General features: G+C 36.1%; 1 protein-coding gene and 1 non-coding gene across 14 annotated transcripts in view; one reads left to right on the plus strand and one right to left on the minus strand.

Annotated features, from left to right (window-relative positions):
- Nucleotides 1-27,836, minus strand: part of RGS22 (regulator of G protein signaling 22) — a 145,114-nt gene that overhangs the window by 17,381 nt on the left and 99,897 nt on the right. For 7 of the 13 annotated variants that reach the window (NM_001286692.2, XM_005250857.4, NM_015668.5 and 4 more), the window contains 7 exons: nucleotides 27,701-27,793; nucleotides 25,610-25,782; nucleotides 23,886-24,048; nucleotides 20,946-21,104; nucleotides 18,146-18,214; nucleotides 9,142-9,303; nucleotides 3,621-3,800 (listed from right to left, as the gene is read on the minus strand). In NM_001286692.2, the coding sequence (NP_001273621.1) occupies nucleotides 3,621-3,800; nucleotides 9,142-9,303; nucleotides 18,146-18,214; nucleotides 20,946-21,104; nucleotides 23,886-24,048; nucleotides 25,610-25,782; nucleotides 27,701-27,793 (999 nt within the window). Of the gene's footprint in view, nucleotides 1-3,620; nucleotides 3,801-9,141; nucleotides 9,304-18,145; nucleotides 18,215-20,945; nucleotides 21,105-23,885; nucleotides 24,049-25,609; nucleotides 25,854-27,700; nucleotides 27,794-27,836 lie in introns of those variants that run through there. The other 6 variants (XM_017013309.3, XM_005250856.4, XM_047421681.1 and 3 more) reach the window with 4 other exon arrangements.
- Nucleotides 26,266-26,335, plus strand: SNORD77B (small nucleolar RNA, C/D box 77B). The gene has a single exon (NR_145741.1). It is a non-coding gene; the product is annotated as a small nucleolar RNA, C/D box 77B (small nucleolar RNA).

Genomic DNA, 27,836 nt, shown 5'->3' on the forward strand with positions numbered 1-27,836 from the left:
TTCTTTATGTCTCCCTAACCAATTGATTGTATTAATAAAGAATCCATTAGGTCTTTTAAAATAAGAAATTTATGTTTTCTTTTAAAACATATACTAGTTGATCTGCCATACACTCTGCTGTTTTATGCAAGTATTCCAAATGTCCAGTTCATCAAGGAAACTCCCTCCTCCCTCTTTTCTTTCTTTTAGAGAAAGGAAATACCATTTTGCCTCTGGAAAAGCTCTTAAACAAAGCTGCAGATCTAAGAATAAATCTTGAGTAAATTTTAAATGATATAATCTCTTACTTTTATGTGAGAGCAAGAAAAGTAACATTTAAAAAGCAGAACGGTATCCTGGACAAATGCTTTCTATAAGGACACTTTAAGTGATTAATTGTGATATTTATAGAGATAAGAATAGTTGCTCTAATTCTCATGCCAAGTTTTTCCATTAGTTCCAGAGGCATACATTACTTCCAAGAAGGTAGGACTTGCCACATAAGATCAAGTCCAACATCTTATTGCTAGGAATGGCCTTTACCTAATACCCTGGAAAAAAATGAACCATCCCATTAGGCTCCAAGCCAACTCATAGGGGAAAAGAGGAATCTTTAAAAAGTAAATGCTGCAGTGATCAACAGAGACCTGAAATGGCGTATTTCATTACTCCTCTTTTCCATACATGAATGCTATTAGTAATACTAAAATTATTCACTCCTTCTAAAATACAGTTTTGTTATTGAATTCTATAGCCTCTTGGGAGTGTAAATGTAAAATCTAGAGATACTTTATTTGATGAAACGCAGGCTTTTAAGACATTTTCATTTACATTTACCTGCCATACATTTAATTAAGTAATCCCCTGTTCCAATGTTAAGGGATCATGGCAGTTTTTATTATGAACTGAAGCTTAAATACTCCTCCTCCTCTATTAATCATACTTCTCAGTTATCTTTCTAAAACCTGAGTCAGTCCCAGTTCTTGAATATATATATTTCCATTTAGAAGGCTTTCTAAGTAAAAGTCACCCAATTAAGACACAATTTTTCAATAGAAGGCATAAAACTACTCTATTGTTAGAAGTTGCAATTGAGATTGTAGGTTAATATATATTGTTAATTAAAATTACCCTGTACCTCTCTAATCTTAAAAGATAACCAAATTGTGGATAAGAAAATGTTTTAATAAATATAGAGCTACTTTACTCACTGCCAGTAGATAAATAATGGCTTTAGTATGAGCAAAAGGGGCCAGTGAAAATTTGGCTGAGTGATGCAAACTTTCAGGCTATTGGGAGTGGGAGTGAGGGATAGACAGAGGCTACACTGATACAATGCTAAAACTGTCAGCAGTTTTAAATTTACTATTCAGCCCTTCTGCTCAACTTTGCTCTCATATCCAATTTGATCTTACTCCTTTCTGTCATGATATATTTCTTCTCACATCATTCATTTATGTGTCCAAAAAATGCCTTCTCTATGCCTGGCATTTGGACTGCAAAGATAAATAAGAACCATTCCCTGCCCTCAAAGAGGTTACAGTCTAATGGGAAAGTCAGACATGAGAACAATCACTTTCAATTTAGTGTGATAAGTGTTACAACAGAGGTAAAAACAAGGGAGAGAAGACGATACTGCAAAAAGCTCAGGAGAGAAAGCAGTAAGGGCCACTTATGAAACTACAATTATTTCAATTAGACTAGGGCAGAGATGGCAGGGAGTGGTAAAAGATGTAGCTAGAGAGATATCTAGGAGTATGGACTTCATTCTGAGGGCAGTGGGAAGTATCTGAAATAGTTTTAAAATTATTATTTGTAGAGACAGGATCTCACTATATTGCCCAGGCTGGTCTTGAACTCCTGGCCTCAAGCAATCCTCCTGCCTTGGCCTTCCAAAGTGCTGGGATTACTTACAGGTGTGAGCCAGTGTGCTGCACCGGAATTGAAATATTTTAAGCAGAGAAGTGACATGATCAGATATACATTAAAAAAGGATTGCTCTGTCTGCCCTGAGTTGGATGGTTTGGAGAGAACCCAGAGGCCAGGAGTTTCTGTAATACATTATGAGTCATGTTGCAGATCTAAAGTGAGGTAGTTGAGTGGAGATGTGGATAGAATGACAGATAACGAGGAGACAACTAGGTAAGTTTTAGGAACGGATTAGATACAGAGGTAAGGAAATGAAATAGAGGGAAGACATGGAGATGGCCAACCAGATCTGTGGCTTGTATCCTGGGGTAGGAGGCAATGCCATTCTCTAAACTTCCTTGGGAAAACAGGAATAACAACAGATTCAGTGTGATGTGGCCCCTAAATAAAGATTATTTATTTTCAGATGCTCTAACGTCCATATTTAAGATATATCTAGGACTCCCTTTTAGAAAATCAGGTAGAAGTCATAGGCTAGAAGACTCCAATAAAATTCTTTGGTTACAGTCCCTGAAGAGTATACCAGAACCGAAAGGTATCGGCAGCTCCAGACATTTACCGTCAGACTCAAGGCCTTTGGTATCGATGGGTAAGTCCTGGCCTGGTTACTAGAAAACCCAGGCTAGGTTAAGCTATCTCTAAGATCTTTTCATTAACAGATATTACCATTCTGACACCATGTTTCTCTATAGCACGTCCTCAATCATTCCTCTATATTTCTGCCTATTTTAATGCATAATTTGGATTGTGAGTCCACTTTTAGTTCCTTAGAGGACTTAGAACACAGCTGGCTCTCAAATGAATCTAAGAATAATCGCCTTTTTCCATGCTCAAGGGCAATAATACCCTAAGTCTCTGTTTCATATCACTTCATTCATGACATGGCCTTCCCTATTACCCCTATTATAATTTATTTTTCTTAATCATTTTTTAGTAACAACATCACTAAAAGGCTTTTTAAAATGCAAATAAATTATGTTCACCAAGTCACTGTTTTCTATTATTTATCTTAAAAAGAAGTAACTTGAGCAGGTTAACAGGCACAATTTTCCTTTCATGAGTTTGTATACTTTATGTTGGTAGAGTTCTTAAATCTCTTCTCACTTATTTTATGAGCTATGTGAATATTCCAATCTTTAAAAATACACAAATCTTGGGACACACATATTTTACACATTTTTGTGGTAGCAGATATTTTAAAAGGAATTACCAATAGTGGAAAAGAAAGGAGGAATTAGCTGGAGGTTAACAAGTTAAAAACAAAAATGGTAACCATGGAAAGCCAAAAGGTAATATTTAATTTTATTTACTGTATATGATCACGAAAAAAACTGCATTTAAGTTACTAGCTTTTTATATTTCAGTCACATATGCAAAGATTATTTAAATTAAATAGAATAAGTCCCAGTATTGGGAGGACTGGAACCTTGTCAAATATGAATAACGTACAAGCTTTAAAAGGATATCTATCTTTTTAATTTTTATTTACTTTTTTTTAGGTTTTTTTTTTTTTTTTTTTAAGAGACGGGGTTTCACTATGTTGCCCAGGCTGGTCTCAAACTCCTGAGCTCAAACAATCTGCCTGCCTCAGCCTCCCAAAGTGCTGGGATTACAGGCGTGAGCCACCACGCCTGGCCCAAAAGGATATCTATCTTTAAAAGGATTGTCAATCTATTTTAAAATATGCTTAGCCACATGCCCTGATCTCTTACCTGTGCCTCTCTAAATACATATGGTCCTAACTCCTTCCGGTGTTCAATAATCTTCTGGGCTTGCTCTACTGGAATGTCAATTTGTAAAGCTGGTGGAATACTGGAATTAATAAAGCAGTTGATAATAGTTGTAATCTTCTTCTGGATGACAGACTCATCACAATGAGAATGGCACAAGTCCTGAACAGAAGGAAAGATAGAATGGTATATAATTAATGCATTACCAGAACACTTAATAGAACTGTATCAATATGTGTTTCAATTAATATATGCATTTCAACTTTAGGTCAAGAAGGCAGTGGGATATTTCAAGGCTGTCTTTAAAAAATTACAGATTTTCTTTCTCTTGGATTTGAGGAACCTAAGACTTTGATACATCTACATTACATAAATACAGATTTCATATAATCCTGATCACTTATTCCTCTAGGCAAAGGAATGACATTAGTATCTACTTTGACTCATTTAACAACCGTATAATGAGGGCCTGTTATATACCAGACACTGAGCTGAGCCTCAAGACACAGGCCCTACCCTTTTAAGGTTCAATCTCCACTGGAGGAGAAGTGTGAGAACATGTTGCTCCTATTTTGGATAGTTAATAAATGTTATGATAGAGGTATACATAGTATCCTAGGAGAACATTGAGAATAGGCACCTAACTCCACCTACAGGTGGATATAAAAGCTTTCCCGTCCAGTCCTGCTTCTACGCCAAGGTGATTTAGGCTCAAAAAGGTACTGGGCATGCTGGTTGTCAACAGGTGTGCCATTCTATATCTTTTATTATCTATGTTGTGTAGTTACCCTATTGTATTATCCTCTTTATAGATAACCTAAAATTAATGATCACACATTAAAATGAGCCACTTAAAAAATTGTCAACATTTATTTTAGACACGGGGGTACATGTGCAAGTTTGTTGTATGGGAATATTACGTGATGCTGAGGTTTGGGGTACAGATCCTGTCACTTAGGTAGAGCGTAGTACCCAACAGGTAGGTTTTCAACCCACCCTCCCCTCACTACCTGTTCTAGTAGTCAGCAGTGTCTATTATTCCCATATTTATGTCCATGTGTGCCCAATGTTGAGCTCCCACTTATAAGTGAGAACGTGTGGATTTTGGTTTTCTTTTCCTGCATTAATTCTCTTAGGATAATGGCCTCCAGCTCCACCCACACTGCTGCAAAGGACATGATTTCATTTTTTTATGGCTATGTAGTCTTCCACGGTGTATATGTACCACATTTTCTTTATCAATCTACTACTGATGGGCACCTGGGTTGATTCCATGTCTTTGCTATTGTGAATAGTGCAGTGATGAACATATGTGTACATTTATCTTTTTGGCAGAATTATTTATTCTCCTTGGGGTATACATCCAGTAATGGGATGGCTGGGTCAAATGGTAGCTCTGTTTTAATTTCTTTGAGAAATCTCCAGACTGCTTTCCACAGTGGCTGGACTAATTTACATTCCCACCAATAGTGTGCAAGTGCCCCCTTTTCTCTGCAGCCTCACCAAGCAGCTGTTATTTTCTGACCGTTTAATAATAGCCATTCTGATTGGTGTGAGATGGTATCTCACTGTGGTTTTGATTTGCATTTCTCTGATGATTAGTGATGCTGAGCATTTCTTCATGTTTCTTGGCCATTTATATACCTTTTGAGAAGTATCCGTTCATGTCCTTTGCCCAAAATGAGCTAGTTTTAAAGTCACAGGTGTAGGACTATCATTTTTTAAAATAAAGAGGTAGTTTAGCTCAAATTATGGCATTTCTCTGTCAAAGTCATTATTTTCCAAATCATCAGAAAGCAAATTTGGAAACTTCTCACTTTAGGCCCAGAAATGAACCAACATTTATTAAGTACCCAGTATATGCTGGGCATTGTAATAGCTCTACTATGGATATTACAAAAGAAACAAAAATTCTGATGTCTTTCATGTAAAACTTTATATATAATTTGGTATAAGTTAAGTGTGAAAAAAGCTTAATATAATGTTACATTGTGACAATTAGCACTTCATACTCAATTTAGCATCACCTTAGAATAAAGCCTATTTAGGCCAGGTGTGGTGGCTTATGCCTGTAATCCCAACAATTTGGGAGGCCGAGGTGGGCAGATGGCTTGAGCCCAGGAGTTTGAGACCATCCTGGGCAACATGGTGAAACTCTGTCTCTACAAAAATATACAAAATATTAGCTGGGTGTGGTGGTGCATGCCTGTAGTCCCAGCTACTGGGGAGGCTTAGGTGTGAGGATCACCTGAGCCCAGGGAGGTTGACGCTGCAGTGGGCCATTATCACACCACTGCACTCCAGCCTGGGCAACAGAGTAAGATGGTGTCTCAAAAAAAGAAAAGAAAAGAAAAAGCCTATTTTATATTATTCAATTAGCCTCCTAACTATGGAATATAAGGCTTGTGAAATAAAACAAATTTGTGAAGTATACAATTATAATTTTGAGTAAAAGGACAGCATTTGGTCAGAATTATAACTGATTTTTTTTTTCTAATTGTTCTGCCCTGTTGTGCCATTAGCTTAGTTAACTCTTGCCTATTATTAAGGTCTGAGTTTAAGCATACTTTCCTCTAGTAAGCTTTCTGTGACTCTCAGTCCAGGAGAGATGTCCATCTCAGGTACTCCCATAGCACACTGTGCTTCTTCCCTTGTTGCACTAATCACACTCTTATAATTGCCTTGTCTACCACTCATTTGTCCTTCTTCTGATACTATATGCTCTAACAGGGTAGACTGTTTTGATCACAGTTGTATCCTCAGGATTTGGCCTGCCCCTTGGTAGGTGCCTAATAAATATTTGTTGGATAAATAAATCCTTCCAGTCTTTACGGACACACACACACACACACACACACACACACACACACTTTAGATTAAACCATACTGATTTTTAGTAGCTAGTTTTTAAAAAAGATCAATGAGCAGAACATCTTTTCCCATCATTGATTATTCTCCTGGAACATTTTTAACGGCTAGAGAATCTTCTACTATATAGATATATCGTAATTTAGTAACCAACGTCCTTGTTGTACAACTGGGTTCTTTCCAACTTTTCACAATCCCGAGTAATGTTTGACTAAGATTACTCCAGCCATCTCTTTGTATATTACCACAATCAATACTGAGAAGCAGCACAGCTTAGTGGTTAAGGGCATGGGCTTTAGCAATAGAATGACCTGATTCAAAGTCTAGCTCTACCAGTTAATTAGCTGTGTGATGTCGGGAATTTCTTGGCCTTTCTGTGCATTAGTTTCATCTGTGAAGTGATGAGAATCACATCCTTGACCTCATGGGATTCTTGTGAGAATAAATTCATTATTACATGAAAAGCACTAAGACAATATCTGGCACATAGTAAACACTTAATAAGAGTAAGCCCTATAAGAGTTAGCTCGGTTAGACTTTATCAAAGTGGAATAAATGCCTTCCAACTGGCAAACTCCCTCATGGCCCAATGCAAGTGTCATCACTCTTGCTGAGACCTCCCTGACCTATTGTCCCCATACCCCATCATTCTCTCCTCTGTGCCAAAACCATACCTAGTCAGAACATGCATCAGAATCAACATTATTTCCTAATATTTGTTCTCATGGATGTCTTCCTGCCTGAAAGAGGGCAGTGTGTTGTATTCACCTTTTTACGCCTACAATTTAGCATAATAACATTTGATACTTAATAAATGTTTGTTATATGAACAAATTTACTCCTATAGCATGCTTTTTAATAGCTACCTAGTATTGTAAGTCTGTCATGCTATATTGTAGAAAAGATATTAAAATGGAGACCAAGGGCAGCCTTAAAGGAGAAAGTCATAAAACTAAGGGTTCACTGTGTATAAGTCTATAGTTGGTTTTTAAAATACCTATTTTACAAAGTTTATCTCATTACCTCTTGTCCTAGCAAAGTTAGACTTGTTCATATTCATATTAGCTTAAAGATAGTTCCACCCACCCATGATAAAAAAATTATCTATTGTGGAAAACACACTCTACCTCCTTTCTAATCTCAAAAAAATTATTTTAATATTGCTCATGTGAAAGATTGTGAAAAAACTTCTCTCAAATTTTTTTTTTACCAGCCTGGGCATCATAGGGAGACCCCATCTCTACAAAAAAATTAAAAATTAGCCAGGCATGGTGGTGCATGCCTGTACTCCCAGCTACTTGGGAGGCTGAGGTGGGAAGATCGCTTGAGCCCAGCAGGTCAAGGCTGCAGTGAGCTGTCATTGTGCTACTGTACTCCAGCCTGGGCAACAAAATGAGACCCTGTCTCAAAAAAAAATTGTTTTTTAATATTATAGTCTCAGCTGAGAATAGTACAAAAACTGTTGATAACAGAAAAGGGTAGAAAACAATTTTACTGTATGTTGGAAAAGCTTGGAAATAAATTTTATTGAGCAACTACTAACTGTATGTTGAGCAACTGTATTAGTGTCATATAATATATAGTTATAGGCCATTTGAAAGCATTATGCTCCTAAATTGTTAATTTTTATTCCTCATGTTTACAATGGGATGGAATAGACTGCTTGCAAGGAAATGAGCCTGCTACCTCTGGGAGCATTTAAGCAAAGACTGAAATACCTTTCAGTATTTCTATACAACATTTCTTTATTCAAGTCTAGACAACATAACATGGAAAGTCCCTTCCTCCTCTTCAATGCAAAGATTCTGTATGATTACATTAAACACTTAACCCTGAAAATAAACTGTCTTTGTACCTAGCCATTTCTCTTTTACTTATTTTGTTAAGAATTTGGCTATTCTTTTTCATCTCTAATTCTTTCTAATTCTTTTCTCTTCTCTGTTGGTTTATTTATCCATAATCCAGTATCTTTGATTACTATTACTATAAATATGGCTGGGAGGGATTCTTACAAAGAGATCTTGGTTGTATGGATACACCAAATATAGACATTGTTAGGAAAAAAATATGTACAGTACATTTAAGAGATAATTGATGTGTAGAAATATAGTTAAAACTCTCTGCAGGAAGGTTCTCATTAAATCTTATGTATGTTAATACCTGAAAAAAAACCTAATACAGGTTGAGTATCCCTTATCTGAAATGCTTAGGACCAGAAGTGTTTTAGATTTTGGATTCTTTTTTGGTTTTGGAATATTTGTATTATACCTACTGGTTGAGCATTCCAAACCCAAAAATCCAAAACCTGAAATACTCCAAGGAGCATTTACTTTAAGTATCATGTTGGCACTCAAAAAGTTTCAGATTTTGGAGCATTTCAGGTTTCAGATTTTCAGACTTGGAATGCCCAACCTGTGTTATCATTCCAGGGCTCACTCTTACTCTTCACTGTATAATAATAAATGTATCTAGAGATTGGACAATAAACATCTCAATATTTATATACTGGTAGGAAGAAGATAGCAAAATTGGGATATCTTATACAAATCTTGTGCATAAAGTTAGTTAAAAATCTGACATTTTAATGCATTTCCTCCTCAAAACAGGTGGTTTTCTCTAGCTCCCAATACAATACCTTATATTTTTGTACTTCTTGCCAAAAGAGTAAACCATTTTCCAATAAATCTCCTTTTAGAGCCACAAAACGTTGAAATTGTCTTGAAGTAACTGGATTCAATAATGCTTTGCGAAAAGCAATGATTTTACAAGATGAAGAGATCCACTTACTCTCCACAGGCTGTCCAAAGCAGAGAATATAGGAAATTAGCTCATTAATTAGGCTAACAATTACCAACTTCTATCTCCTAAAATTTTGCCTGTTGAAATGCCTGGCATGGCTATAATAGAATTTCACAACATTTTCACCTATTCCTTTCTCTTTTGTCTCCTTTATATTTTTATGGCTTCATTTTTAGGAGGTAGAGTGAAAAAGAAATGACTAGATGATTTAGACCGTATGACTACAATGTTTAAAAATGTTAACAGTTATTACAGCTTGAGATTATGGTGAAAAACTACTTTTTAGTGCATTGTATGAGTTCTGTGCTTAAACAGAACAAAGTAATCATAATGTTATGATTATATGTTATTACATTATTTATTTTATTATTACATGTTATATATTAATATATAATTCTCCTGCCTTTTAAAAAGTAAAAGTAGTTAAACATTTAATATTTCTCATTTTTAAGAAAAAATTATCAATTGATTCTATAAGTTAAATAATTTACTATAGAGCTTCACTATAATTTTATCCTGAAAATATTATATTTTTAGATGAGACATCTTTATGTTATTTTTAATAAATTATGATTTAAAATAATGATAACAAATAATGATTATTAATAAATTATTTTAATAAAATTCCTTTGACTGATGGTTTACTTTACATAACATAAAAGCTAGAAGCACCCATGGCATTTTAGTAACACCTAAAGGTATTTTTATCAACATTTATTTTATATCTTTACAATTTGGAAATATAAAATATCTACTTTTTAAAATTTTGCCCATTTAAAATCACATATTCAACCCCATTTAGCCTTTCAGATTGAAAACATAAGAAATCGATTTTATTGAATTCACTAAATAGATTTTAATATTTAAGTTTCCCAAAGCTGATTTTTAGCTTACAACCATGCAAGGAAGTATCATTCCAAAGACAATGATTTAGATGGATTTAGCAACACATAAAATAAATTCCTTGAAACAAATATGTGACCATCAATTTAAGTGTTTAGAGAGTTATATTTTTAAAAAGTGCCATGGTAACACAAAGGAAGGAGTAACTAATTCTGCCTGGAGGAGTAAAACCTTTACAGAGAAGGGCCTTGAGGATGACATCTGAGTTGGAAACTGAAAAGTGAAGGCAACTCCAGGCAGTCTAGATGAATGGTGGTGCCATTAACCCGGATAAAGTGAATAGATGTCCATCACTATTTTAGTGAGACACATGTCATGTTCTGTGGACAAAAAGTTAAGACCCCCACCATATGGTCCATATTAAAATTATAGCCCTACAAATAGGAACAACTATGTATTAGACTGGGACGTTTATTTAAAACCCACTCAGCAAATAATATTTTAAGATCTGCTTAAGATACTAAAACTTAGAAATTTAAAACCTGTAATTTAAACAAAATAATAAAATATATGTAATAATTATATAAAAATAATTCCATTCTATGTAATTTTCAATCAAAATTATAGCAAAAAACAAACATTAAAAAAGTTTCTTTCTTTTCAAGAGGAAAATACACAAAAGAGCATATTAACAGTTACATACATTCCTCCAATATTCAAATAAACATCTATTTTTGTTAGTTAGCAGAGGGTCACCTAGGTCTAGTTGGACATTTTATTAGGACCTGCAGAAGGATAAATACACATAAAACTTATAAGCTCAAAAGGAAGACTACGTTTATCATGCTTGTTACAAAGTAAAATAGGCCATTTCTAGCCAGGTATTATATTGTAGTGGTTTTAAGTCACCAAAATGATAGTTATCTTAATTCTTTTAAAGCTAAAATTCTATCTTTTTGCTTTTAATATTTTTATTTCTATTTCAATTTGATTTGATTTTTTATGTATGCTCCTGCTCGGCAAAGTGCCCTTGTAAGGATGCCTGAGAGCAGCGTACAGTTATGATTAAAATGCAGTTCTAAATAGAAGGGATAATGTGCCAGGTGTGTTGGCTCACGCCTGTAATCCTAGCAGTTTGGGAGGCCTAGACAGGTGGATTGCCTGAGCTCAGGAGTTCAAGACCAGCCTGGGGAACATGGCAAAACCCCATCTACACCAAAATTGCAAAAAATAAGCCAGGTGTGGTGGTGCGTGCCTGTAATCCCAACTACTGGGGAGTTTGAGGCACGAGACTTGCTTGAACCTGGGAGGCAGAGGTTGCAGTGAGTTGAGATTGTCCCACTTTATTCCAGCCTGAGCGACAGAGCGAGACTCTGTCTCTAGATAGATAGACAGACAGATAGATAGATAGATAGATAGATAGATAGATAGATAGATAGATATAGATAGATAGATAGACAGATAGACAGACAGATAAATGAAAGTCATAATGTAAGACGATTTAACCTGCTGATTCTGCTGCATGCTACTCATTTGTTGAGTAATTTACTCTCAATAATAAACTGTCATATGTTGGAATGCACAGCTTGTCTCAGTAAATCCATGACATGCAGAATAAAGAAAAATACATACTTAAGGCAATCACACACTTCTAAGGTTGAGCAGGTCAAGGATTTCTTTAAGAATAGAGCTCCTTATTCAGGAGGCGAAGGCAGGAGGATCACTGGAGCCCAGGAGTTAGATGTGATAATGAGCTATGATCATACTACTGCACGGTAGCCTGGGCAACAGAGCAAGACCCTAATAATAAAAAATAATTTTTTAAAAAAGAACAGAGTTCTGAATTCCAAGGGCCGATGGGAAGCCTCTAGCAGGGGACTCTGGCCTTGCAGAAGGACCCTGTTTCCCATTTCTTCCCCCTGCCTTTTCACCCAATAAAACCCAGCTTTATTCACCCTTTAAGCCATCTCCAAGCCTAAATTTTCCTGGCCGTGGGATGGACAAGAACCCAGTCTTTAGCTGAACGAAGGAAAAGTCCTGCAACATTCTTGGCATGCAACGTGGGGGCTCTTGAAGAGATGTATCAGAATTCCACAATGCATATGGTTCTTGGGCAAGTCACTGAAACGTGGGTCAGATGTTGAAAGCTGCTGTACTATGATGTGAAAATAAAGCCCACCGCAGCTCAACAAGGCCTACTGCCTCTAGACTCCATCTCTGTGGGCAGGGCATAACTGAACAAAAGGCAGCAGACAACTTCTGCAGACTTAAACGTCTGAAGAGAGCAGTGGTTCTCCCAGCACGGCATTTGAGCTCTGAGAACGGACAGACTGCCTCCTCAAGTGGGTCCCTGACCCCCATGTAGCCTAACTGGGAGACACCTCCCAGTAGGGGCTGACAGACACCTCATATAGGCAGCTACCCCTCTGGGACGAAGCTTCCAGAGGAAGGATCAGGCAGCAATATTTGCTGTTCTGCAGCCTCCGCTGGTGATACCCAGGCAAAGAGGGTCTGGAGTGGAGCTCCAACAAACTCCAACAGACCTGCAGCTGAGGAACCTGACTGTTAGAAGGAAAACTAACAAACAGAAAGGAACAGCATCAACATCAACAAAAAGGTCATCTACACCAAAACCCCATCTGTAGGTTACCAACATCAAAGACCAAAGGTAGATAAAACCACAAAGATGGGGAGAAACCAGAGCAGAAAAGCTGAAAATTCTAAAAATCACAGCACCTCTTCTCCTCCAAAGGATCGCAGCTCCTCACCAGCAACGGAATAAAGCAGGATGGACAATGACTTTGACAAGCTGACAGAAGTAGGCTTCAGAAGGTTGGTAATAACAAATTTCTCTGAGCTAAAGGAGGATGTTGGAACCCATCGCAAGGAAGCTAAAAACCTTGAAAAAAGATTAGATGAATGGCTAACTAGAATAAACAGTGTAGAGAAGATCTTAAATGACCTGATGGAGCTGAAAACCATGGCACGAGAACTTCGCGACGCATGCACAAGCTTCAATAGCCAATTCGATCAAATGGAAGAAGGGTATCAGTGATTAAAGATCAAATTAATGAAATAAAGCAAGAAGACAAGGTTAGAGAAAAAAGAGTAAAAAGAAACGAACAAAGCCTCCAAGAAATATGGGACTATGTGAAAAGACCAAATCTACATTTTTGATTGGTGTACCTGAAAGTGATGGGGAGAATGGAACCAAGTTGGAAAACACTCTTCAGGATATTATCCAGGAGAACTTCCCCAACCCAGTAAGGCAGGCCAACATTCAAATTCAGGAAATACAGAATACACCAGAAAGATACTCCTCGAGAAGAGCAACCCCAAGATATAATTGTCAGATTCACAAAAGTTGAAATGAAGGAAAAAGTGTTAAGGGCAGCCAGAGAGAAATGTCGAGTTACCCACAAAGGGAGGCCCATCAGACTAACAGCAGATCTCTTGGCAGAAACCCTACAAGCCATAAAAGAGTGGGGGCCAATATTCAACATCCTCAGAGAAAAGAATTTTCAACTCAGAATTTCATATCCAGCCAAACTAAGCTTCATAAGTGAAGGAGAAATAAAATCCTTTACAGACAAGCAAATGCTGAGAGATTTTGTCACCACCAAGCCTGCCTGACAAGAGCTCCTGAAGGGAGCACTAAACATGGAAAGAAACAACCAGTACCAGCCAGCACAAAAACATGCCAAAAGTAAAGACCATTAATGCTATGAAGAAACTGGCATCAATTAACAGGCAAAATAACCAGTGACCATCATAATGACAGGATCAAATTCATATCTAACAATATTAACCTTAAATGTAAACAGGCTAAATGCCGCAATTAAAAGACACAAACTGGCAAATTGGATAAAGAGTCAAGACCCATCAGTGTGCTGTATTCAGGAGACCCATCTCACATGCAAAGACACACATAGGTTAAAAATAAAGGGATGGATGAAGATCTATCAAGCAAATGTAAAGCAAAAAAAAGCAGGGTTTGCAATCCTAGTCTCTGATAAAACAGACTTTAAACCAACAAAGATCAAAATAGACAAAGAAGGCCGTTACATAATGCTAAAGGGATCAATTCAACAAGAAGAGCTAACTATCCTAAATATATATGCACCCAATACAGGAGCACCCAGATTCATAAAGCAAGTCCTTAGAGACCTATGAAGAGACTTAGACTCCCACACAATAATAATGGGAGACTTTAACACCCCGCTATGAATATTAGAGAGGTCAATGAGACAGAAAATTAACAAGGATATCCAGACCTGAACTCAGCTCTGCAACAAGCAGACCTAATAGATATCTACAGAACTCTTCACTCCAAATCAACAGAATATACATTCTTCTCAGCACCACATCACATTTATTCTAAAATTAACCACATAATTGGAAGTAAAGCACTCCTCAGCAAATGTGAAAGAACAGAAATCACAACAAACTGTCTCTTGGACCACAGTGCAATCAAATTAGAACTCAGGAGTAAGAAACTCACTCAAAACCACACAACTACATGGAAACTGAACAACTTGCTCCTGAATGACTACTGGGTAAATAACGAAATGAAGGCAGAAATAAAGATGATCTTTGAAACCAATGAGAACAAAGACACAATGTACCAGAACCTCTGGGACACATTTAAAGCAGTGTGTAGAGGGAAATTTATAGCACTAAATGCCCACAAGAGAAATCAGGAAAGATCTAAAATCGACACCCTAACATCACAATTAAAAGAACTAGAGAAGCAAGAGCAAACAAATTCAAAAGCTAGCAGAAGGCAAGAAACAACTAAGATCAGAGCAGAACTGAAAGAGATAGAGACACAAAAAACCCTTCAAAAAAATCAATGAATCCAGGAGCTAGTTTGTTGAAAAGATCAACAAAATTGATAGACTGCTAGCAAGACTAACAAAGAAAAGAGAGAAGAGTCAAATAGATGAAATAAAAAATGATAAAGTGGATATCATCACTGATCCCACAGAAATACAAACCACCATGAGAGAATACTATAAACAACTCTATGCAGATGAACTAGGAAATCTAGAAGAAATGAATAAGTTCCTGGACACATACACTCTCCCAAGACTAAACCAGGAAGAAGTTGAATCTCTGAATAGACCAAAAACAGGCTCTGAAATTGAGGCAATAATTAATAGCCTACCAACCAAAAAAAGTCCAGGACAAGATGGATTCACAGCCGAATTCTACCAGAGGTACAAAGAGGAGTTGGTACCATTCCTTCCGAAACTATTCCAATCAATAGAAAAAGAGGGAATCCTTCCTAACTCGTTTTATGAGGCCAACGTCATCCTGATACCAAAGCCTGGCAGACACACAACGAAAAAAGAGAATTTTAGACCAATATCCCCGACAAACATCGATGCGAAAATCCTCAACAAAATACTGGCAAATCAAATCCAGTAGCACATCAAAAAGCTTATCCACCACGATCAAGTCTGCTTCATCCCTGGGATGCAAGGCTGGTTCAACAAATGCAAATCAATAAATGTAATCCATCACATAAACAGAAACAATCACAAAAACCAGATGATTATCTCAATAGATGCAGAAAAGGCCTTCAACAAATTCAGCAACCCTTCATGCTAAAAACTCTCAATAAACTAGGTATTGATGGAACATATCTCAAAATAATAAGAGCTGTTTATGACAAACCCACAGCCAATATCATACTGAATGGGCAAAAACTGGAAGCATTCCCTTTGAAAATCGGCACAAGACAAGGATGCCCTCTCTCACCACTCCTATTCAATGTAGTGTTGGAAGTTCTGACCAGGGCAATCAGGCAAGAGAAAGAAATAAAGGGTATTCAAGTAGGAAAAGAGGAAGTCAAATTGTCCCTGTTTGCAGATGACATGATTGTATATTTAGAAAACCCCGTCATCTCAGCCCAAAATCTCCTTAAGCTGATAAGCAACTTCAGCAAAGTCTCAGGACACAAAATCAATTGCAAAAATCACAAGCATTCCTATGCAATATTAACAGACAAACAGAGCACCAAATCGTGAGTGAATTCCCATTCACAATTGCTACACAGAGAATAAAATACCTAGGACTCCAACTGACAAGGGATATGAAGGACCTCTTCAAGGAGAAATACAAACCACTGCTCAACGAATAAAAGAGGACACAAACAAATGGAAGAACTTTCCATGCTCATGGATAGGAGGAATCAATATTGTGAAAATGGCCATACTGCCCAAAGTAATTTATAGATTCAATGCCATCCCCATCAAGCTACCAATGACTTTCTTCACAGAATTAGAAAAAAAACTACTTTAAAGTGCATACGGAACCAAAAAAGAGCCTGCATTTCCAAGACAATCCTAAGCAAAAAGAACAAAGCTGGAGGCATCACGCTACCTGACTTCAAACTACATTGCAAGTCTATAGTAACCAAAACAGCATGGTACTGGTACCAAAATAGAGATATAGACCAATGGAACAGAACAGAGGCCTCAGAAATAACACCACACATCTACAACCATCTGATCTTTGACAAACCTGACAAAAACAAGAAATGGGGAAACGATTCCCTATTTAATAAATGGTGCTGGGAAAACTGGCTAGCCATATGTAGAAAGCTGAAACTCAATCCCTTCCTTACACCTTATACAAAAATTAATTCAAGATGGATTAAAGACTTAAATGTTAGACCTAAAACCATAAAAACCCTAGAAGAAAACCTAGGCAATACCATTCAGGACATAGGCATGGGCAAGGACTTCATGACTAAAACACCAAAAGCAATGGCAACAAAAGCCAAAATAGACAAACGGGATCTAATTAAACTAATGAGTTTCTGCACAGCAAAAGAAACTACCATCAGAGTGAACAGGCAACCTACAAAATGGGAGAAAATTTTTGCAATCTATCCATCTGACAAAGGGTTAATATCCAGAATCTACGAAGAGCTCAAACAAATTTACAAGAAAAAAACAACCCCATCAAAAAGTGGGCGAAGGATATGAGCAGACACTTCTCAAAACAAGACATCTATGCAGCCAACAGACATGAAAATATGCTCATCATCACTGGTCATCAGAGAAATGCAAATCAAAACCACAATGAGATACCATCTCACGCCAGCTGGAATGGCAATTATTAAAAAGTCAGGAAACAACAGATGCTGGAGAGGATGTGGAGAAAAAGGAATGCTTTTACACCGTTGGTGAGAGTGTAAATTGGTTAAACCATTGTGGAAGACAGTGTGGCGATTCCTCAAGGATCTAGAACTAGAATTACCATTTGACTCAGCAATCCCATTACTGGGTATATACCGAAAGTATTATAAATCATGCTGCTATAAAGACACATGCACACGTATGTTTATTGCAGCACTATTCACAATAGCAAAGACTTGGAACTAACCCAAATGTCCATAAATGATAGACTGGATTAAGAAAATGTGGCACATATACACCATGGAATACTATGCAGCCATAAAAAAGGATGAGTTCATGTCCTTCGCAGGGACATGGATGAAGCTGGAAACCATCATTCTCAGCAAACTATCACAAGGACAGAAAACCAAACACTGCATGTTATCACTCATAGGTAGGAATTGAACAACGGGATCACTTGGACACAGGGCGGGGAACACCACACACTGGGGCCTGTTGGGGGGTGGGGGGCTGGGGGAGGGGTAACATTAGGAGAAATAACTAATGTAAATGATGAGTTGATGGGTGCAGCAAACCAACATGGCACATGTATACCTATGTATCAAACGTACACGTTGTGCACATGTACCCTAGAACTTAAAGTATGTATATAAAAAAAGAACAGAGTTCTGATAGAGTCACATTTTCCTCCAAATTCCATTCATCAATTAAAAACAGTATCAGTGCTCAGTTGTCAGTTTAGAAAACAGTGTGTCCTCAGTGAGGATTTTTGAACAAGAAAGGGAAAGAAAAACAATACTTTGACAGAGCAAAACTTACAAGAGGAAGAATATAACAAACATTACTTGCCTTCCAGACCCCGATTTTCTTTTCAGCCTTCTGTAGTAAGAGCTCTTCTGCTATGTCTTTCATCTGTACCTGAAAGCAAAACCAATTATTTTATCCCAGTTATTCAGACTAAAGGCTTGAAATCATTTACTAATTAAGTAGCTAAAAAAATGAGATAAAGGTTAACTTGGACAAGAGATAGTGAAGTTTAGGAGAAAGAGGATCAAACTTAAAAATGGAAGCCCTGTGGTCAGGTACCAAATTTTTCTGAACACTCTAACCTCATCTGTAAAATAGAGATAATACTACCCGATTGTTATTGCCCCAAATGATGATAGTTTCACTTGAGCTCACATGGGAACTGAAGCTGGAAAGACAATTACGACTTCTCAGACTTTTTAGCTATTTTCTAGCCATATACTTTCACAACTAATTTTAAAAGAGTACTAAAAGTTACTCAACATGGAAATACAGTAGATATTTCTTGGGGTTATTGCCTATTCATATCATTTCCCCTTTCTTGGGAACCGCTCATAACAAACCTGTGCTATTGACTCTATCTCCCTGTCCATAGCAGATAGATCCAGAAGCAGATCTAGAGAGATAAGGACTAGAATCACTGGGGCTAAGTCTTTTTGATAGAGCCAGGAGGAAAGATCTGAGAATTCTTGCTGGGTTCCTAGGGCTGTCCTGGCCTACATCTTTTCTAAAGCTTGGATGTCAACTCTTAAGTGTGTGAGGTGGCCCAGCAGCACTTTAGAATCAATCCTCACCCTTCCTTTTGTCTTTGGTTCAAGGTTGCCAAAATCAGTTTATTTTGCTGGCCACCTAAAGAATGCTAAGTCAAGAAATGACTATGCATTGCAATAAAATTACAGTGATAAACATAATGAGGAAACGTGGTAAATAATATTAGCAAGCCAAATGTCCTTTTACTTGACTTTGGATAGAGAATTGGAGTTAGCCTGAAGAAAGAGATTGAGGAGATTTGAGTTTTCCCAAAGCTTATTTCCAGAAACATTTTTCCTAAAGTCAATCCTTCTTCTTCATACTATAAATTCTGTCTTCCCAGCTGCATTGTGTTTTCCATAAGTTGCTCAGCTCAAATGACTAAGGATATTTCCAAATAAGTAGGCCACAAAGTGTTTGAGAAACTGAATATAGAATGAAGCTTTTCAGGTTCTTCCTGATTAGTATTAATGGCATGTGGCTTTGCATACTAAAGTCCAAAACTGCATGTTTTCTGACCCCTGTGTTATTTTTATAAAGATCAGGTTTGCCTGAAACCTAAAAACAAGGTGTGCTAATGACATTTTAAATTATCAAAGAAATACTTCTTATAAAATAAAAACAAGGCAAAGCAAAGACAAACCCACTTTACAAAATAAAAAGTAAAAATCCTCACTCCCCAAACCCATTCCCAGGAGGCAGATCTTTCTAGGTGTTTTTCTACCATAAGCATAAACATAAACAGATGGATGGATGGATGGATAGATATGCATAGACAGAGATGTAAGTAAATGTAATGGGATTATCTTCTATACATTGTTCTGCATCCTGCTTGTTTTGTTCAATAAATGACATCTTTCATATAGTACATGTGGAAATCTCATTTTTATTTTTTAATCTCATTTTTTAAGGAAATCTGCATATTTTTCCATAGTACAGAATTATCATAACTTATCTAATTCTTCTCCCATTTGATATTGCAATGAATATCCTTGTATAACCTTGTCCACTTGTGTGAGGACTTAATAATATTAAAAATAACAACTATATTAATAGATAACATTTGAGTGTTTGCCATGTGCCAGGCACCATTCTAAGAAACAAGCACATGTTAATTTCACTTCATTTTTCAGAACAACCTTACTAAGTAATTACTATGACCAACTCAATTTTTCAAATGAGGAAACAATTTATGAAACTTAAAGGTGGTACAACTAATATGTGGCAGTGTTGAGATTAAAACTTGGCAGTCACAGCTGGGCACTGTGGAACTTTCCTATAGTCCTAGCAACTCAGAGGCTGAGGCAGGAAGATTGATTGAGCCCCAGTGTTTCAAAGCTGTAGTGCACTATGATTGTGCTTGTGAATAGCCACTGCACTCCAGTTTGGACACTGAGACAACAGGGTGACCCCTGACTCTCAAATAAACAAAAAACCAAAAACTTGGGAATTTTGACTCCATGCTTTTTTAAAAAAAAATTATTATTATTATTATTTTAGAGACAGGGTTTCACTCTGTCACCCAGGCTAGAGTGCACTGATGTGATCATAGCTCACTGTAACCTCGATCTCCTAGACTCGAGCAATCCTCCTCCTTCAGCCTTCCAAGTAGCTGGGACTACTTGGTGTTCCAGCTGTGGTGCATGCCACCACACGTGGCTGACTCCATACTTCAAACCATTCTCAACAGAAGTACAATGACTAAGGCCTGGCATGGCGTCTCACACCTGTAATCCCAGCACTTTGGGAGGCCAAGGCAGGAGGACTGCTTGAGCCTAGGAGTTTGAGACCAGCCTGGGCACATAGCAAGACTCCATCTCTTCAAAAAAATTTTTTTCAATTAGCTGGGCATGGTAGTGCATGCCTGTAGTCTCAGTTACTTGGGAGGCTGAGGTGGGAGTATTGCTTGAGCACAGGAGTTCGAGGCTGCAGTGAGCTAGGATCACACCACTGCACTTCAGACTGGGTGACAGAGAGAGCCCATTCCTTAAAAAAAAAAAAAAAGGACAATGGCTGGGTCACCAGGTATGTACATTTGAAGTTTTCAGAGGTACTGACAACTGCTATCAAAAGATTATACTAATTTATATACCTTTATCTTCTGACGTGCTGCAAACTGTTCACTTGCAAGAAACAATGGCAGCCATACATTTTCTAGCCTATTTTGCACATGCTTCTGGATTTCAACTAGAACAGGTGCATCAAGCTGCTCATGAAGAATCTTCCCCCAGCCACCACTTAAATGCATTACCTAAGAAAATTAAGATGGAAACAGAAACTATTGTGCTTTCTAAAAGAAACACTAATAGTCATTAATTCATTCATTCACTACAAAACCATTTGCTGCACCCTGAGGGGTGCCAATTTTCATTTTCTGTATAACATCTCCTGGCTATACTGAGCAATAATTCCCCTAAAATCAGACAGACAATTGTGGTTTATGTGCTGGTTGTTTTAGATGTATGATTTGTGCTTACTTATGATATATCAAAAAGAACACAGAAGTGGGATTTTTATCCTGTGTGACCACAGCAATGGCATTTTTTTCCCTCCATGGACTCAGTATCTCCAACTGAAAAATGAGGACATTAGTCTATTAGTTTTCTAATATCCTATGAATCTCTGATTCTAGTCATATTGATCCACTTAAGAATTTTCTTCTGTGGATGAGGAAAATGTGTTAATTAAACGACAACCTTGACTCAGATATTATAAATACGTATATTACCAACAAATGTTGGGTTGGAGATAGGATGATGGCAGCTGTAGTGCACTATGCACCCAGAACAGTGCAGTTGTAGTGATAGCAATGTAGGGCTTTTCCAACAACCTCTAAGCAGAAAACAGAGGCAACAGGAAACAGAAAAAGGTCATGTTTTATAGATAATAAGTACCATTTGTAAAACACAACTTCTTTGTGATCTAAATTTTCCTTCTGCTTAATGATTGGCTTCAACAAGCTACTAATAGCTTTTTCCTGCCATAACTCATTCTTGTTTCTACCTGTTTCTGTGTACATACCACTCAAAATTTCTGGATTGCTCAGTGGAACAACTGCCCTCTTCTTTGTTCTCCTTTGAGCAATAATGTTAATATAATACCACTACTAATACTATTGTTTTATATAAAAACAAAAAGGAAATCCTCTTCTTAGTTCTCCTTTAATAATATCATTAAATAATATCAACACTAATATTTTTCTGTATAAAAACAAAAAAGAAAAAGAAAAAAAAAGACTACCTTGCTAATCAAAGAGCAAATTGGCTGCACAACTGAAATCTGGACTAGCACGATCTTTATAAAACAATGTGATGCAGACATCCTTAAGTATAAAATACATTTTAAAAGTGATGACAAAGACAAAGAAGGATCATTGGGGAAAATCCTCTGTAGTAAGCACATCTATTTGCTATGATAGCAATGGGTGACTTTCACTGACTTAGATTCTCAGCATGTTGTGTGTACTATGGAGGATTCACACAGTAGCATGAGATACCATGAAACCTCACGCAATGTAGCACAAGCCAAATAGAAAACAAATGCTTTCCATGTGTTTATTTCATACTTGTGCTTATTGAGACACCCAACCACTTTTGCTAATGTGTCCCAGATTTGTATCTCAGGGAACTAAGGACAAAGCATTTTTGTCAAAGTTGCTTAATTCCAGAATTCCTGCTCCCTCTCGCTCCCAAAGCCTTTTGCCAATTTCTCCTGCACCCCAAAGATCTAGCTTTTAAATTTGGTATGCCTTACTTGTGAACCTCTCTGAGTTTTTCTTTAATTTACTGAATTTAGCATTAATCTGAAATTTGTATTTTATTAATATATACCATTAGAACATGCATTCTTGTAAACTACCAAACAAAAAAAAATGATAAACTATACATTACATCTTTAGGTATGAATGTAATATTAACAAACTTCAAGCTAAATAAATTATGATAATTATTTATATTTCAAAAGTATAAAAATTGCATCATATTTCATGAGCAGTGTTACATGAACACAAACCTACCGCTGAATCCCAATTTTTTATATATATATATATATACATATATATATATACATTTTTTTTTTTTTTGAGACACAGTCTCACTCACTCTGTTGTCTAGGCTGGAGTGCAGGGGCACAATCTCCACTCACTGCAACCTCTGCCTCCTGGGTTTAAGGGATTCTCCTGCCTTAGCCTCCCGAGTAGCTGGGATTACAGGTGTGTGCCACCACACCTGGCTAAGTTTTGTATTTTTAGTAGAGACAGGATTTCACCATGGCCAGGCTGGTCTCGAACTCCTGACCTCAAACAATCTACCTGTCTTGGCCTCCCAAAGTGCTGGGATTACAGGCGTAAGCCACCACGCCCAGCCCAATCTTATATTCTTGCTGTCAATCTAATGACACTGTAGTTATTTAGTTATTAATAAATTGTGATTAAGGCCATAGGACTTTGGTCCAACAAAATGTTCAAACTGTCCTGGTCAATAAAAATATTTTCTGGGGAAAATACAATTGTAAGGAGGATTTTCTTTTCTTTCTTTTATAATATTTGCTCAAGGTTCCATAGTAAAGAGGATTTTCAAAGATTGATTATATTTAGAGTAATATCAGTTCAGAGAAGAACAGAAAAGTAGTAGAGATTTAGCTTAATGGTTGATAACAGCTGTTTTCCTACATGTTGACAGGTGCAGGGAGCTTGTCCATCTTCTTCACCACTTTATCTTGAGCACCTAGAACAGTCTGGCATAGTGAAGGCACTCAAATTTATTGAATGAGTCAATGAGTAGGTGAATAAAAGTTATTTTATTCTATAAACTACTTTTTAGAGTAACACATTTTTATACTATATAATGTTTGAGTATTAAAGACATTTAATTTATAGATGCTCATAAATACCTAAATAAATATCAAAGGTCTTTAACACATTAGTCATAAGCAAAAGAAAATAAAATAAGAGACTTTCAGGTTGTTGGCAAAAATAGAAATAAAATACCGGTTTTCAAACATCAATTAAAAAAATAGGTTTGCATGTTGATACCTGGTTCTGCTGATACAGAGAAGCTGGACTGTTGGGTCCAAAGAAATATTTTTTATTAAGGTATTTGTTTTTAATGTATATAGATTTTGCCTTCCTTTGATTTCGATCTCTGTAAGTTATTCTCCGGAACTGCTCAATGTCTGTCCAGCACATAAGATCCATGCTAAAATGAAAACAAAAACAATGTATAGCTCTTCATATTTCTTCCTCTAAATTCTAGTAAACACCCGATTGTTGTTTTGACAGAACTTAGAAAGTGGCTATCTTGACTAGTAGCATTAGATCATGGAAATAACGAACCCAATATTGTATCTCTGATCCCTTTCTAGGCTAGTTCACTTGACTCTATTACACTCCTAATCCTGGCTAAATATATGAATGATGACAAAGGAATTTTGGGATCAGAAAAAAAAATCCGTCACCATTATTGGTGGGATCTCAGAGTTCTTTCACTAATTTCATCAATTTCAAAAATGAGAAAATTTCCACATATGTCATGTCATTCGACAAAAGGTCAAATTTAGAATAATCCTCATCTTGATGGGTACCAAAAAATAGAAAGCTTGAATAAGGGCCAGGCACAATGGCTGATACCTGTAATCCCAGTACTTTGGGAGGCCAAGGCAGGCAGGCAGATCACTTTAGGTCACGAGTTTGAGACCAGCCTGGCCAACATGGCAAAATCCCATCTCTACTAAAAATAGAAAAATTAGCTGGGCGTGGTGGCACATGCCTGTAATTCCAGCTGCTGCAGAGGCTGAGGCATGAGAATCACTTGAACCCAGGAGACGGAGCCTGCAGTGAGCTAGGATCATGCCACTTCAGCCTGGGCGACAGAGTGAGACCTTGTCTCAAAAAAGAAAAAAAAAGAATGAGTAAGAACTACTATTTGATAGCACAATAGGATGACTATAGTCAATAATAACTTAATTGTACATTTAAAAATAACTTAAGGTATAACTGGATTGTTTGTAACTCAAAGGATAAATGCTTGAGGGAATGGATACCCCATTCTCCATGATGTGCTTATTTCACACTACATGCCTGTATCAGAACATCTCATGTACCCCATAAATATATACATGTACTATGTAGCCACAAAAATTAAAAAAATTAATAAATAAAAAATAAAAAGATAGAAAAATCCTCATTACAATGAAGGGAAACCATATACAGTGAAATTTGGCTCCCAGATCTTACCAGTTTCTGTTAACTAGGGAGAATATTAATAGGAAAAAAATATATTGAATACTTCAGTTTATATTAGATAAATATGTTATAAGGTTCCAAGATTCTGGGTAAAACTACAATGTTTCGTTTATAAATCTGTTAATAAAAATTATAAAATATAATTTCAATATCTCAATGAAATATAAAAAGGACACATTCCAGAAACAGTAATTAAAATACCAGTCTAGAGAAATATAAAAGAAAGAAACAGTAGAAAAGAGAAAAAATAAAGCACACTGGTATTTTAACTTAGCCAATGCTGAAAGTATCAACATATGTAACCACTTAAAAGAACAATATGGAGGTTGATACAATCAAAATGTACTCCATCTTTAAAAAGTTACCCATACAGATTTCAGATAATCATGTTTGTCAGTTTTTATTGACATGAGTAAAATCTGTTATAGCACCAAATCACTTTTATAATATGTTGAATCAAAAATAGTAGCTTAGAAAAATGTTTTCAGTGAGAAATATATGGTTATGTCCCTCACCTTGAAGAATGAGTCTCAAGAAACTGACGGAAATGTTCAAACTCCAGTTTGTTGTTAAGCAGATCACTAAACTTAAAATGCTTGTATTCTGCAGGAACATTATCCCAATATTCTGTTCGTTTAGAGACGTTAGAGAGTGATAAAATGCCAGTTCCAATTTCACAAGTGGTGTCCTAGTGAAATAGTACTTTTCAGCAAAAATCTCTTAAACACAACAGATTGTTTACAATTTTAAGTAGAGAAACTGAAAGAAAAATCAACCATTAGGCCAAAGCCATTTAATAATTCAATGGCAGAGTGGGTAAAGACTTTAGAATCTGGTAAAGAATCTGATTCAGATTCTAACATATCAAATTCTGTTCTGTTTATTTTCATTCCATTCCCTTCTTTTCATAAATGTTTAGTAAATATTTACTATACAAAGCACTTGCTTGTAAATTATTAACTTTGATATATTTTTCTAAGTATAGAAGTAAAATGTCTTTTGTAATAAGAAAATAAAAATCATACATAATACTACCATTCAAAGATAACCACCATTAACATTTTTTAATATATCCTTCCAGTCTTACTTATATATGTGTAGTTTATAAAAAATGAAGAAAAGTATAAAAATAAAAATTAAAAATAAAAACAAAAATAAAAAGTGAAGATTAGATACTATGATGGTTGCATAGTTCAGCAGATTGAATTCATGAAGAGATTTACAATGTCTGATGTAGTTTCAAAATATAAAGATAGGATTATGCACCTATTTATAGTTTTGTGATCTGGTTCTTTTTCTTAACAATGTATCATAAACATAAGATATTCTTTTATAACATAATTTTTAAAAGTTATAGAGTAATACAAGCTACTAATCTAATAATACATCCTTCAAATATAATATTAAAATATAATATAAATATAATCGCCTTCATATAAAAGTTAATTTTTAGGTAATTTTATGACCTCTGATGTTTTGTGAACAGTTTACAAGCACGAAAGGGCAAAGGGGAAAAGAGTCTTATTCTTTGTAAGGCCCTTCCTTATATAATTCCTTACATAACTAATTCATCTCCCTATTTGTTTTTGTAAAGGATCCATGAGATAAGCTACCAATGTTTTAAAAATTAATTTCCTTATGTAGAAGGATTGTGGATAGTATTATAAAGTTTAGTTCATAGAGTTTACAATACAACCTTATATCTTGCTACCTTTATGGATTTTTATGTATCCTTTGCAAGCTAGTAGTAGTGTATCAAATAGAGAACTTCTGGATAAGAATAAAAATTTCAGATATGTACAAAGAAGAAAGTTTAAAAAAAAATCACCTGAAACCTTACCACTCAGAGTTAACTATCTTTAATATTTTGGTGAGTGTCTTTTCAGATATTTCTTTTTATACTTATGGATACATGCAGAAATACATATATAATTTTACATAAACAGGATCGATCATACCATACCAGTTTTTCTGTTCCAAAAATTTTAATATATCTTAAACACTTTCCAGGTCAATTAACTGTCATTTTTATGTAGATGCACAAATTTAATTTTATGGCTTTAAGGATTTATTATGTTTACTTAGCCAATCCAAAAGATTCAACTTTATGAATCAAAATAACACTTTAATATCCTAATCAATCCTATGATCTTTTTACCGTCTTCCTCAATTCCTTCCCATACTTTTTCTTCATTGTTTTCCCTATCGCTGTCACGCAACAGTTTCTTTTCTGTTTAGAAAATTTAATTTAACTGTTTTGTAACCTGACAACAAATAGAAAGAGCAGCTGCCATATAGAAAATAACTGATAACATTCAGAGGAATATAACACAGTTGAAGGCTCCAATGTCTGGTCTTAGCTAAGGCAAATGAGTGGCCTGGCTCCCTACCAAATACCTCATCTGCTTTGTTTTTCTGGCTCTCTTGTCAAATATGTCAATAAAATGTAACACCTGTCAAATGCAGCATGCTAGGCAAAGGAACAGCAGAAAAATGAAACTGCCTATATGATCTCGTCACTCTACAATCTCCCCCTGCCCCATACATAAAGTGGTAACCCTCTCCAGGATAAAAAGTTTGTTTTTCTAAGTAGAAAGTTGCCTTACCTCAGCTTTCTTGGAAAATGTCTCTTTATGCAAAGCCTGTAGCTTTCTGAAGTATGTGGAGTCTAACTGTCGAGTTTCTTCCACCAGCTCCACCTAAAAAAAATAAATAAAGCTTGTGACATCAAGAGAATGTACA

Source organism: Homo sapiens, chromosome 8, assembly GCF_000001405.40.
Source record: "Homo sapiens chromosome 8, GRCh38.p14 Primary Assembly".
NCBI lineage: Eukaryota > Metazoa > Chordata > Mammalia > Primates > Hominidae > Homo > Homo sapiens.